At 53.7% G+C, this 13901-nt stretch overlaps 1 protein-coding gene and 1 long non-coding RNA gene across 10 annotated transcripts in view, besides 3 other annotated features; both read left to right on the forward strand.

The window, feature by feature from the left end:
* Positions 1-13901, forward strand: part of SORCS2 (sortilin related VPS10 domain containing receptor 2) — a 550290-nt gene that overhangs the window by 63786 nt on the left and 472603 nt on the right. The window lies entirely within an intron of this gene.
* Positions 489-6901, forward strand: LOC105374371 (uncharacterized). 2 transcript variants are annotated; one of them, XR_925105.2, is made up of 3 exons: positions 489-976; positions 1233-1467; positions 6514-6901. It is a non-coding gene; the product is annotated as an uncharacterized LOC105374371 (long non-coding RNA). The 2 variants fall into 2 exon arrangements; XR_925104.2 differs by having other exon boundaries at positions 489-925.
* Positions 847-1008: a silencer, noted in NCBI's record as "fragment chr4:7258897-7259058 (GRCh37/hg19 assembly coordinates)". NCBI's record gives its function as "represses an EF-1alpha promoter that drives an FKBP-Casp9 reporter gene in an ReSE screen in K562 erythroleukemia cells {active_cell/tissue: K562}" and the evidence as "EXISTENCE:reporter gene assay evidence [ECO:0000049][PMID:32094911]".
* Positions 1499-1999: an enhancer, noted in NCBI's record as "H3K4me1 hESC enhancer chr4:7259549-7260049 (GRCh37/hg19 assembly coordinates)". NCBI's record gives its function as "activates a minimal SCP1, AML or CMV promoter by ChIP-STARR-seq in naive H9 embryonic stem cells {active_cell/tissue: H9 hESC(naive)}" and the evidence as "EXISTENCE:reporter gene assay evidence [ECO:0000049][PMID:30033119]".
* Positions 10072-10887: an enhancer, noted in NCBI's record as "H3K27ac-H3K4me1 hESC enhancer chr4:7268122-7268937 (GRCh37/hg19 assembly coordinates)". NCBI's record gives its function as "activates a minimal SCP1, AML or CMV promoter by ChIP-STARR-seq in naive H9 embryonic stem cells {active_cell/tissue: H9 hESC(naive)}" and the evidence as "EXISTENCE:reporter gene assay evidence [ECO:0000049][PMID:30033119]".

The raw sequence follows: 13901 nt of genomic DNA on the forward strand, positions 1-13901 counted from the left end.
CTGGAAGTCTGTATTGTAGGGGGCTTTCCTGGTTTTAAATGTTGACAACCAATTAAAAATTAAAAAACAAAAAACAAAACACCATGTGTGACAAATAAAAGCCACCTCTGGCCGAGACTTGGCTCCTCAGATGGCAGTTTGCAGCCTCTGGGCAGGAACTCTAAACTGTGGGGATATATTCAGTCATTCATTCACTCATTCATTTATTCATTGAATACCCACAAATGCAAAGGCCCTTGCTAGGAACTGGGGGATTACAGAGCTGAACTGGAAATGGATTATGCCCTCCGGCTCGGAGCCCGGGAGGCAGGAAAACCCCAAATCTCGGATGCGAACGTAATGTGGTTACCATCAATAGTGGGGGAGCTGTGACAGCTAAGCCTGGCAGAAATCAGCTGCGTCTCGCATGATGGGGGGTTGGGACTATGGGGGTGTCGGGAAAGGGGGCGTCCAGCATGAGCAGACATGCTGGGGGCAGAGTGTGAGGTCTGTTGGGGGAAGAGTGGGGAGCTCGGTCTGGCAGAGCCGGATAGGGCTGGATGGGTTTGGGATCCAAGTGAATTGAATCTCCAGGCAGAGTGTGGGCACCGGCCCCAGCCACCCATTCCTAGCATCCTTTGGATGTAGGTGTCATCGGTAGAGACTCGGGGGTCATTAATTTATGGCTCCTGGGCATTCACTGGTGATTTGAGAAGCTCAATAGGAACTTCTCAGTATTTCTAGAACAGGACAAGTTTTGCTATTTTAACATCTGGGAGACCTGTGGGGCAGGAGAGAGAGAAGGGATATTATTAGAATGTGTGAATCTTGGCCGGGCTCCCTCGGGCCCTGGAGTGGGCAGGTGGCCAGAGGACAGAAGTGATATTTCACACAGATGGTGGCCTCTCCAGGCCTCTGCAAACCAGCAGGACGGATCGGCGGTGAGGTGAGGCTCGTGTGCCTGGCGCCAGGAGTGCCCACCAAGAACCTTAAATGGGTGAGGGGGCTGGTTTTGCTCAGCACCGACCTTGGGGAAGGCTGTGTGAGGGCAGGGAGACCCAGGCCTGGGGGTGGTGGGGGTGGGGAACTCCCCGGGGCTCCAAGAGAAACCAGTGTAAGTATGGACCCTGAGAGGCGGCAGGGCAGGGAGAGCCTCTCCGCATCGCGATGGTCACAGTGGCTCTTCCAGGCAGGGAGCCCGGCCAAGATTCGCACATTTTAATAATGCCCCTTCTCCCTCTCCTGCCCCACAGGTCTCCCAGATGTTCAAATAGCTTGTGTCCTGCACACTGACTGAGAGTGTGTCCTTGACAAGTCCCTTCACCTCCCTGAGCTCCAGGCTTGTCACCCGTAAAAGGTGGTGACAGGAAGAGAAGTGCACATGTGGGAAGCTCCCGAAAGGTGCCATGTGCTCTACCCCATGTGTGCCCACTCTCCTCTGGCCTCCCCCAGCCCCTTGTCCTTCTCTGCCTGCTCTGTGCCCTGGAGGTGAGTCCACAGCTTGCTTACCTGGCCTCCCTGGCCCTGGCCTCCCATTGGGTTCAGTCAACGAGAGGCGCCGACAGGAGATGGGAGGAAGGCGAGGATGGGGGATGGGTTCCTGCAACTTTCTCTTTGAGGTCTGGGGTTGCTGTGTTTGCTGCTTTCCTCTGTCCACAGCTCCACTGGCCAGCCCTGGCCCATGGCTACAGCTCTCACCCGCCCAGGTACCTCTGCTCTGTCCTCTTCCTCCTTCAGTGTTGGGGGAGTGGTGGCTTCCAGCAGGGGCGGAGTGCTTCCGCTGTGTCCCCTGCTGACTCCTTGGCTCTGTCCACACCTCTGTGATTATCCCTTTCTTTTTAAAAAAATTTTTTTTTAAAATTATACTTTAAGTTCTGGGGCATATGTGCAGAACGTGCAGGTTTGTTACGTAGGTACACATATGCCATGGTGGTTTGCTGCACCCATCAACTTGTCATCTACATCAGGTGTTTCTCCTAGTGCTATCCCTTCCCTAACACCACACCCACCGACAGGCCCCGGTGTGTGATGTTCCCCTCTCTGTCCATGTGTTCTCATTGTTCAGCTCCCATTTATGAGTGAGAACATGCGGTGTTTGGTTTTCTGATCTTGTGATAGTTTGCTGAGAATGATGGTTTCTAGCTTCATCCATGTCCTGCAAAGGACATGAACTCATTCCTTTTTTATGGCTGCATAGTATCCCATGGTGTATATGTGCCACATTTTCTTTATCCAGTCTATCACTGATGGGCATTTGGGCTGGTTCCAAGTCTTTGCTATTGTGAACAGTGCTGCAATAAATCTATGTGTTCATGTGTCTTTATAGTAGAATGATTTATAATCCTTTGGGTATATACCCAGTAATGGGATTGCTGGGTCAAATGGTATTTCTAGTTCTAGATCCTTGAGAAATAGCCACACTGTCTTCCACAATGGTTGAACTAATTTACACTCCCGCCAACGGTGGGAAACATCCTCTCCAGCATGTTTCCTGACATTTTAATGATGGCCATTCTAACTGGCCTGAGATGGTATCTCATTGTGGTTTTGATCTGCATTTCTCTGATGACCAGTGATGATGAGCATTTTTTTCATACGTTTGTTGGCTGCATAAGTGTCTTCTTTTGAGAAGTGTCTGTTCATATCCTTCTCCCACTTTTTGATGGGGTTGTTTGTTTTTTTCTTATAAATGTGTTTAAGTTCTTTGTAGATTCTGGATATTAGCCCTTTGTCAGATGGATAGATTGCAAAAATTTTCTCCTATTCCGTAGGTTGCCTGTTCACTCTGATGATAGTTTCTTTTGCTGTGTAGAAGCTCTTTCGTTTAATTAGATCCCTTTTCTCTGTTTTGGCTTTTGTTGCCACCGTTTCTTTAAATTCTATTAACCATGTGGTTTCTTGTGCAGAGCCTGGCTGACACAGATGTATCTCATTTAATCCTTACCATACTCAATTAAAAAGTGATGCAATCATCCTCATTTTACAGACGTGGAAGCTGAGGTCCGCAGAGTTCAATTCCATGACTGGGGGATTTGAACCCAGGTTGTGGGACTCAGGATCTCCTCAGAACCCACATTCTCAAGCACAGATAGAATCACGGGGCTCACAGGGGTTGTACTCTGTACTCGTAGGCCCAGGGTATGTGGCAGGTGTTTGAGAAATGGTTGCTGTGCTGAGGGCGCTCTTCCTGGTGAGAGCACTGTGCTTTCCCTGGAACAGGAGCTGTCCCTGACGTCAGGCCCAGGGGTGGCCCTTGGTGTGGCCCCTCCCAGGAGCCCTCTTGCTCCTCATGCCCTGTCCAGGCCAGCCCATCCTTTGATGTAGCAGTACCCGCCTCCCCTCCTGCCTCCCGCCCTACCTTGGCTGTGCCCGAGGAGGAGGTGGTCATAGGCCCCACGCTGTCTTCCATTTCCTGTTTCTCTTCTAGTCATCATCTCATTCACACATCACATGCCCTTGGGGTTCACAGCATCTCCCCATCTTACAGATGAGGACCTGAGACTCTGAGAGGAGAAGTCGGCCCCCTGCACTGCTGTGGATGAGGTGGAGGACTGGAGATTTGCTCATGCGTGGAGCTGACGCCAAAGCCTGTGTGTTCACCATTGGGCCACCCAGCCTGTTGGGCAGGACAGAGTTTCCTCTGACAGCCCAGGCTGGTGCAGGCAGGGGCTGAGGGTGATTTGGGGGAATGACAGAAGCTCCTGCATCTGCGCTGCTGCTGCCCACCATACCCCTCTCACTCCCCTCTCCTGCCCTCCCAGGCTTGGGTTGGAGAAAGGCAGAATAGAGACACCTTCTCCCCTTTTCCCTTTCAGAACTCGGCAGCCAAGTGAGAACCCATGTGTGGGAACTTTTCTTTTCCCTGTGGGTGTCAGGGGACTGGGCATCCAAAGAATGGGTAGGAGGCAGCTGCTCTGGATGCCCAGAGCCTTCTGGCCAGTTGCCCCCTGAGGGGCTGGATTTCCTCCTCTCTGTGGCCACTCAAAGGGGTCTGCTGTGTGGGTTTATCATAGGAGGGTCAGAGGAGCCACACTTACTCTCTGCCTGGGCTCCTCTATCTGCCTCCAAGCCTCCTCCCACCTCCCCCCTCCCAGGAATGTTGAGCAACAAATTGCTATGATTGATCCATCAATGGATTGACTGATGGGCTGGTCTAGGAGTCACTCAACAAACATGTCATTTGCTTTACTGACTCTGGGCCAGTGGGCTTTTAACAGTTGTTTGTGGAATGAATGAATGAATGAGTGAACGGGAGCTGTGGTTACTACCCCAAATGATCATGGGCTGTGTTGGAGGTGACATGCCAAATATGGGAACGTAAACCAGGTAGGAAAGCTCTCTGCCTCTTAAGAGACACACACAGAGAGTTAAGGGGCAGCTTCAGGGGAAGGAAAGTCAGTGGCAACTCAGGGTGGTAAGGAGGGCAGAACCAGAGAGACTTCCTGGAGGAGGTGGCATTTCAGCAGGGCCTTGAAGGCCCACTAGCGCTGGAGACACAGTGGTGAAAGCCGGGAAGACATGGTGTGACCCTCTTCCTCCTGCTGCTGCTCGTGTTCTTACAACCTCCCCCGAGCAGGGTCTGTGAGCCCTTTCACAATGGGGACACCGAGGCTCAGAGAGGTGGAGAGTCATCCTTGAGGCGCTCATAGCACTGAACTTAGTTGATCACGGATCCCTGTTTTGTTGTTGTTTTTACCTTAGAGCACTCGTCAACATCTGTCGGATGATGCTTGGGAAAAGCCATCTCAGAGAATTGAAGTTCTAACTTATGGTCATGCTGGCTTTCCCCTGTATGGTCAGACACTGTGATGGGTGCTGGAACCAGCCTGGGAATTCTCTTGCTTTCTGTCCCCTTATGACCTTGTATAATTGGCAAATGTCAACAGCTCTGTCGTCTAACATTACATTTTGGCAGGCAGGCGTTTGATCCAGCTTGTGGAGGCCAGAGGGGCTGGTGATTCTCTCGAGAGAATTTGGAGACCCTTCAAAGGGAAGAGACGGGTCTCCCAGAGCAGCCCAGACAGGGCTCTGCGACGGCCATAAATGTGTCATATTTAGCTCTGTGGTCAGGCAGACGGTGTTGCTTCATTAGTAAATGTGCTGTTTGTCTGCCATGCCTGCGTGGCCAAGGCATGAGATTATATTTACTGAATGCAAATCATGCCATGGACATTTATTTCTCTGCCTTGCTGTTTACTCCTTCCTTTCTCTCCAGCCCAGATTTATGAAACATATGGATCCTCTCTTTAAACAATCCCTCAAAAGCCCTGGCTTGCAAATTAGTTCCTTGAATGATCAGCTGTACATATCCTGCATTTAATAAATTCAGTTATTAAGGAAGCTGCAATTGATTATTCAATTACAGCAGATCGGGAATCAGGCTGCTCGGCAAGCTGCCTGAGGCACTGGATTGAGTACTAATAAAAGGAAAAAACACCTCGGGACCGGCCTTTCCACCAACATTCCCTGCTGGTGAGAGAGCTCAGAGGCTGTGCCCTGGGCTTTGCCTGGGGAAGGGGCCCTGTGGGCATGGTCCCTGATGCCTTCTGACTGTAAAGAAATTAGTGAGCCAGATGACCGAGGATCCTTTCCATGTGATTTGTGTCGACTGGGAAATTTGCATTATGTATGAAATTTGCCATTTGCATTTCATTCTAAGGAAAACCCTGAACAATATTGATAAATACATTTTATGTGTATACAAAATAGATTTGAGCAAGATATGGGGGTTCTGGGTGTGGAAGTGTGTGTGATGAAATTAGCTTTGTAAACATGGCATTCATACAGGGGGAAGATAATGGAGGTGGCAAAAGGTCTCAGCAGAAATGAAAGATCTGATCTGCCCATCTACCCATCCATTCTCCCACCCACCCACCCATCTATGCATCCATCTATCCATCCATCCACCCACCCACCCATCCACCAACACATCCATCGATTCATCCATCCACCCACCTATCCATCCACCCACCTATCCATCTATCCACCCACCCATCCATCCATCCAACCACCTATCCATCCATCCATCCATCTATCCATCCATCCATCCATCCATCCACCCACCTATCCATCTATCCATCCATCCATCCATCCATCCATCCATCCATCCATCCATCCATCCATCCATCCATGGCCTATTCCTGTAGGCCACTGCTTAAGCACTGGGATAGTGTGGTAACAAGACAGACATAGGCCCCTGTCCTCTCAGAGCTTCCAGTGTAGTGTGGAGGACACCAGATGAGAAGCAAATCAACAAATATGATTCCCAGGTAATTGCTGGTAGCAATAGGTTCTATTAGGGAAATATATACAAGATGATCGGCAAGAAGCTGACTGGGGCACTTTGGTGAGGGGTTCAAGGAGGGCCTCTGAGGAGGGGGCTGGGAGTGTGCAGCCATCCTGCTGAGGGTTCCCATGGGGAACACTGGGCACACTGACACGACCTCCACACAGCCCTCAGCAGGGACTCCCTTTCCATGCCTCCTGGGTCTTGTGTGCCTTCCAGCCAGGATTTAGGCACTGCTTTTTCTTTAGGCTGTGTCTGGTGAAGGTGGAGGGACTCAGGACACAGCCCAGACATTCTTGGGAAAATCACCGCAGGGCTCAGACGGCCAATGTGGGACCTCGTGGTCCAGGTTTGAGGAGCTCTGGGAGTCCTACGACTGAGGTCTCTGCCCAGTTTGGTCTCAGGGACTCATCCTAACAGTTTATATGCCTGCCTTCTGCTTCCCGACTGCTGCAGAGGAAAGAACAGGGGCTTTGGAACCAGAGACCTGCGATTAAATCTGGAATCATGTCACCCCAGTGAGCCTTGGTGTCTTTACCTGTGAAATTACCACCCTCCATTCCTCATGGGCAAATGCAGGTGTGGGAAGTAACCAGATTGTTTTAAATACTCAATAAATGACGGTTGTATTAGTAATAAGAGGACTTTGAGTCATTGTTGAAATCTGTAGAGAGGTCACCTGGTGTAATGGAAGGAAAATGGACTGAGAGTTGGGAGGCTGAGGAGTCCCGGTCCCCTCCCTGGTTTCCCTGAACTCACCTGTGAAAAAGCCCAGCCTGGAGGAGCAGGAAGGACCTTGTCAAAGAAAGCACCCGTCATTCTGGTTCTGTGATGCTGGTGGCACAGGCTGGGCAGGACGCTGGCCGGGTGTTCATCATCGTCTGCCTCATTGTCCTGGGAAGGAGCCGGGCGTGTCCGACCTGATTGCGAACCTGCTGTGTGTGTGAACTTGGTGTGGAGTTCCCACGGACTCCTTCCTGGCTCCAGGTTCTCCTGCATTTGGCCAAGAAGCCTTGTTCAGCAGCTGGCTTCAGCTAAGCCCGTGGTCTCTGCTGCCTGTATGTCAAAGTGGCTGGGGCACAGGGCTGTCCAGCAAGGCTGCTGACTCTCCTGGGGACTGCTGCTTGGCAGGCTCCTCCTCCATGCTGGTGTGGGGCTGGCAAGACTCCACTGTGGACACCCACCTCATGGTGTCTCAAAACAGCCAGGGCTGGGCAAGTGCCTTCATGGTCAAGTTCCACCCCGACGTGGACACTGGTTCATCCACGGAGCTTGCTGGGCACCATGGACCTTGGTGCGTCTCGTTCCCACCGTGGGCCGTGGTGTTGGCAAGCTGGTGAACTTCATTCATTCACTCACTCACTCATTCACTCACTGACTCATTCATTCACTCCCTCTCCTCACATGTCCTGAGGATCCAGTGTGTGCCAGGCCGAGTGCCAGGTCCTGAGGTCACAGAGGCCCCCCTCCCTTTGGATGGGGGAGCAGAGAAGTAGAGAGACAGTGACCACACAGGGTCACTGCGCTGAGGTTACGGGAAGCAGTGGAGACTGCGGGACTCAGAGGTGAAATCCCTAAGTCCCCTGCCTAAGAGATGTGATTGGCTGGGGGCAGGTTCTGGCAGATGTCAGTCATCAGAGGGCAGGTATTTCTCCAGCAAAGCGAGAAGAGAACAGACCTGGCTCTGTGCAGCCCATGTCCCGCACCTCCCTCAGCACCTGGGTGCCTGTCTGTGCAGTGAGGGGTTGGATGCCCTGATCTCCTAGACCCTGGCCCTCTCCTGCTTGTCCAGGGGCATGGGATGAGTGACTGCAGGTGTGGGCATCTGTCCCCTAGCTGGCCTGGCCTTAGGTGTCCCCCAAAGCACCAAGCTGCCACCACCACTGCCTGGACCCCGTCGAGTGTCTCCCGACCACCGGCTATCCACAGGAAATCACAGGTGGGCACTCAGCCCCTGGTCTGGGAAGGCTTCTCCGTGGAGTGATGGTGAGGTGATGTCCTTCTCGGGAAGGTGCTGTGTGGCCCGTTTAATTGAGGGTGCTGTTCTTCTCCTGTGATTGAAACTAGGCGGAGCTCTTGCCGGCCCTGGGGCATTGGGTGCTGGGAGCAGGCAGGGGCTGGCCTCCCTATGGAAAGCCCCTCACCATGCCTGGGTCTGCTCTCTGCAGTCCTGACCCCCACTCCCTTCCAGCTGCAGGCCAGACCCTGAGGGTGCAGGGGAGATGCACCCTCTCCGTGCAGCCCTGCTGCTGGCTGGAGCCAGAGGCCCCCGGCGATGTCCAGTCCTGCCCTCACCCTGCCATGCCAGACCCCAGCCTGAAGCTGCTCATTCCCCTGCGGTGCCCGCCTCATGCCATCATTCCCGCCTGGCCGCTCCTCCAGCATTGCTGTCCCTCAGAATCCTTCCCAGGCCCTGACACCAGCTTCTATGCCGCCCTGGCGCCAGGCTTCCCCGATGCCTCTGGAGTTGGGGCCATGCTCTGCATGGGACTTCTGCTCCATTCGGGGGTGTGTTAATGTCCCGTGGCTGCCGTAACTAAGGACCACAGACTGGGTGGCTTAAAACAACAGAACTTTATTCTCCCACAGTCCTGGAGGCTGGAAGTCAGAAAGCAAGGTGTAGGCTGGGCACGATGGCTCATGTCTGTAATCCAAGCACTTTGGGAGGCCGAGGCAGGTGGATCACGAGGTCAAGAGATTGAGACCATCCTGGCCAACATGGTGAAAACCTGTCTCTACTAAAAATACAAAAATTAGCTGGGCATGCTGGTGTGTGCCTGTGGTCCCAGCTACTCAGGAGGCTGAGGCAGGGGAATCGCTTGAACCTGGGAGGCAGAGGGTGCAGTGAGCCGAGATTGCACCACTGCACTCCAGCCTGGTGACAGAGTGAGACTCCATCTCAAAAAAATAAATAAAAGCAAGGTGTGGGCAGGGCTCGTTCCCCATGAAGGCTGCAGGGGTGGCTCCTGCCTCTCCCAGCCACTGATGGCTCCAGATGTTCCCAGGCTGCAGTGGCATCATCCCAGTCTGTGCCCTGTGGACACACGGCCTCCTCCCCTGTCTTCTTGTCTGTGTCTCCTATGAAGACATTCATCGCTGGCTTTAGGGCCGCCCAGTGTAATCCAGTGTGAGCTCATCTGGAGATCTTTAATCACATCTGCAAAGACCCCTTTTCCAAATGAGGCCACGTTCGCAGGGGCAGGTATCAGGACACGGACATCTCTTCCTGGGGGCTGTGGTGCCGTCCACTGCTGGGCCCCATTCCCTTCCTGCAGAGGGAGGGGCTGGCTCTGCTCTCTGTTTGCAGTCCCCAAATTCAGCCCAGGACCAGGGCTCAGGCTGAAGTTGTTTGTCGAAAAACAGCCTCCGGCTCATCCTCCTCCACTTCCCCAGACTCCTACTCTTCCTCCGTGTCATCCTACCTGTCTCCCTGTTCTCCTTTCCCGGCCCTGCACTTCCACAAGACTCAGACCTGACCCTAAATTTCCCTTTTTTCTGGAGCCCGAGGTGTTTCTTGCCTGGGCCCTGGTGCCACAGAGCTGAGGGACCCTTTTCTGTCCCTCACGAGTTGGGTCCAGCTCACCCCAAATCATGAGCTCCCTGGAGCTCCCAGCCAATAGGGCTGTGCAGGCCAGCGGGTGGCCTGGCCTGGGAGGGCACAGCTTGGTGGAACAATTCAGAGTCCCTCCGTGGAAGTTGGGAGAAGATGCTGGACTCCTCTGGTGAAGTGTCGGAGCTTCCTACCCGAGCCCTGGCTTGTTTCGGGAGCAGCTGTGAAGGGAGTGGAGGGCTGAAGCGCCCCTCATTTCCGTCCTGCCCTCCTCCCTTCTTTCTTTCAGGAGACCCGTTGAACACCTTCCCTGTGCCACCTTCTGTGCTCTGAGCTTTCCCGGGATGTCTCTGATCATCTCCAGGGATTTTCTGAAGATCATTTGGGAACAGTAGTTCCTACCCAAAGCATCTGGGGCCCCTGTCTTTACTCTCTCCACAGCCTGTTAGCTGTGAGTCATCCATTCATTCATCAAGCACTCCGGTGGTTTCCCACAGTGTGAGGATGAAGCGGACTCAGCCCTGCCCTCAGCATTCCTGCAAGGCCAGCTCAGATACCCCCTCCCCCAGGAGGCCCTCTCTGATTGCCCAGCATCTATGGGAACGCTGCCTCTCACTCTGCTGCTTTGGACCTCAGCTAAGACTCTGGCCACGTTCTGCCTCAGTGGCTCCAGCATTGCTGTGCTAAGCCTAAAACACCAGGGTCAGGCTGCCGGGCTCGAGTCCCAGCTCGGCCCCCTGTCGCCACGCCATAACTGCCTCCCAGCGTGTTTCCTCTGCAGACGGTGGCTCATCACAGTGCCAGCTTTTTGGGCAGTCTGGAAGAATCAGTGGGGGGTGGGGGAGGTGTGGCAGGGGAGGGCCACAGAGAGGGAAGGAAGCCCTCTGAACGCAGGCTGCTATTGGTACCAGCCTGGATCGCTGCAGCCCCCACAAAGCACGAAATAGTTTCTCAATAAATATTTATTGCATGAATCAGTGAATCAAACTTTCTAATTCAGCGGAAACACTATGACCACCAGGGACGGGACAGACAAGAGTGATGATTAGAGATGAGTAGGCATCTTCCTTTCTCCTAAGCCTTTCTTACCCTTCTGGTATAACTACTTCTTCCCTGTTTTACCTAAGCGTTAAATTCGTGGATGCTGATTTTCAATTCTTAGCACAAAACACCTGCTTACTTGAGGGCAGAGCCTGGGAGATCCTGGAGAAACCCCCGTGGTGGTAGAGTAAGGACTTGCCGCAGCTCCGAGGATGGGTCGAGTAGGGCGTCTATTTCCCCGCCCCTACCCAAGCAGGCTGGGGCGAGGTCTCTGCAGATCTCCTCCTGGCCACCCCAGCCCTGGCCCGTAAGCAGAACTCGCTGGATACATGGAGGAAAGATGGAATGGATGACAACACCAGCTCAGCCAGCCAGGCACCGTGGCTCATGTCTGTAGTCCCAGCACTTTGGGAGGCTGAGGCAGGCAGATCACCCGAGGTCAGGAGTTCGAGACCAGCCTGGCTAACATGGTAAAACCCCGTCTGTACTAAAAATACAAAAATTAGCCAGGCGTGGTGGCAGGTGCCTGTAATCCCAGCTTCTCAGGAGGCTGAATCAGGGAGAATTGCTTGAATCTGGGAGACGGAGGTTGCAGTGAGCCGAGATTGCGCCACTGCACTCCAGCCTGGGCAACAAAGCGAGACTCCGTCTCAAGAAAAAAAATACCAGCTTGTCTGGGTCATCGGGGGTCTGTCAGTCAACCCGTCAGTGAGTGATGAGACGAGCAGCTCCTGTTGTAGAATGAGGTGACAATGGCACAGGTAGGTGACCTTTATGCTCAGGGAAGTCTGCACACCTTGAGGAAGCTGGAGCCGGAAGATGCAGGCCCGCTGGTGCCGGCTGTGTGGGGTTTGGGGTTTGTGGGTGGGGTTCTGGTTGTCTACACAGCCTGAGGTGTGAACTGAGTGGTGGGCCCCGGGCCCCTGGAGCTCCCTTCTCCCCTTGTGGGGCAGTCCATGGCCTTGGAGGATCCCTGGATTCAGAGGACCCTCTGGGCTGAATTCATTGCATCTGTGAGAGGGAGCTGTAAGTAAGTGGGAGTGAAGGGATGAAGGTTTCTGTCCTTTGGTGAACATCCCTGTGGTTCCTGCCACATTGTCTAAAGGATGCTTCCTTGAGTTTTTCAACCCTTTACCTTAGTGGGGAGCATGTGGGGAGTTGTCAAAGGCCTTTTCCTGGAAAGTAATTGACAAGGAGGGAGACAGGGAGCTTCCTGTCGGCCACTTAACAATCCCTCAACCCCTCTCCCATCCCTCGTCATCCAGCATGCAATGGGGCCGTCAAACTGAAGGAAGCTGTGCCGATGGCCACCCCAGATCAGGTGCCGTCGTTAATGAGGCTGCCAGGATCAGGCACTGCTGTTATTAGTGGTAACTGCAAACCTCCGAGGGCCCATGTGTGTCCTGCTGGGTATCAGGGGCCATGCAGACAGTAAAGCCCAGGGCAGCCTGCAGGGCTTTGCACACACGAGTGGGTGACCACCTGTGAGTGAAGGGAGTGCCCAGGGTGGAGGGAGCATAAAGGAGACAACAACCTGGCCAGGGAGTGGAGGAGGAGCAGGGAGGGCTTCCAGGAGGAGGTGATGCTGGAACTGCTTCCATCTTAAAGCAGGTGCAGCAGGTAGCAGGCCCATGGGCATCCCAGGGAGAGGGCCTGGAGGGGACCTCAGCTTAGGGTGAGTGAGATGCCACAGATGGAGGAGGCTGATACTCAGGGCATTTTAGGATTGAGTGGGAATTCATAAGGCAGAGGGAAGGAGGGAGGTGGCAGGACTGGAGACCCAGGCTCCAGGGAGGAGGCCTGGCCTGGGAAGGAGACTTCTAGAAGCACATGGGCTGGGGCCTGGTGGTTGGCAGAGCGGGGGTTGAGGTTGACGGGAGTAGGTCTAGGAGCCCCACAGGCAGCCGATTCAGCATCAGCGTTGCAGGGCGTCACCTCTGCCAGGCCCTGTGCTGTGCTGGGCTGGGCAAGAGGCCTGAGGGCCTGGAGGAGCTTACATTCCAGTGCTGGGATGAGGGCCGGTGATGCCAGGGTGCTGGTGGTGTCCCAGGAGGATGGCACTGTCATTCTCTGGAACAGCAAAGGTCCTGAGTGAGACAGGCAAGTGACCGGCAGGAAGGGAGCTGCCGTTGTGCAGGGCCGCCAGGGCCCCCGGTTGCACCATGACATGCGGCCAGGTGATGTGTGTTGAGGGTTTAGTGGTGTCCTCCAAAAAGAGATGTCCGTATCCTAACCCCTCCCAGTATCTGTGAACACGATCTTATTTGAAATCAGATCTTTATGGATGGAATCCAGTGAAGGATCTTGCGATGAGATCATCCTGGACTTAGGGTGGGCCCTAAATCCAATGGCTTGAGCCTTATGAGGGAAAGGAAAGGGAGCTTTGAGACATTCGTCACACGAAGGAGAAGGCTATGTGAAGACAGGCCAGATCAGAGCGATGTATCCCCAAGCCAAGGTATGCCAGTGATGGCTGGGAGCCGCCAGAAGCCAGGGTGAGAGGCCTGAATGGCTTTGTCTCTGAGCCTCCAGAAGGAACAAGCCCCCCAGCCCCCAACACCTTAATCTCAGCCCAGTGATACTGATTTGGGACCTCTGGTGCCCAGAACTGTGATGAAAATAAATTTTTGTTGCTGTGAGCCACCCACTGTGTGGTGATTTGTAGGGCAGCCTGGGAAATGAATATGATGTGGATTGTACTACTTATTTTTTATTTTTGAGATGGAGTCTCACTTTGTCACCCAGGCTGGAGTGCAGTGGCGAGATCTTGGCTCACTGCAACCTCTGCCTCCTGGGGTCAAGCGATTTTCCTGCCTCAGCCTCCCAAGTAGCTGAGACTACAAGTGCCTGCCACCATGTGTGGCTAATTTTTGTATTTGTTAGTAGGCACAGGGTTTTACTGTGTTGGCCAGGCTGGTCTTGAACTCCTGGCCTCAAGTGATCCTCCCGCCTTGGCCTCCCAAAGTGCTGGGATCACAGGCATGAGCCACCGTGCCCATGATGTGGATTTTAAATCTCATCCAGAGGCATATGTGATGCTTGGGG

Source organism: Homo sapiens, chromosome 4 (genome assembly GCF_000001405.40).
Source record: "Homo sapiens chromosome 4, GRCh38.p14 Primary Assembly".
Classification (NCBI taxonomy): Eukaryota; Metazoa; Chordata; class Mammalia; order Primates; family Hominidae; genus Homo; species Homo sapiens.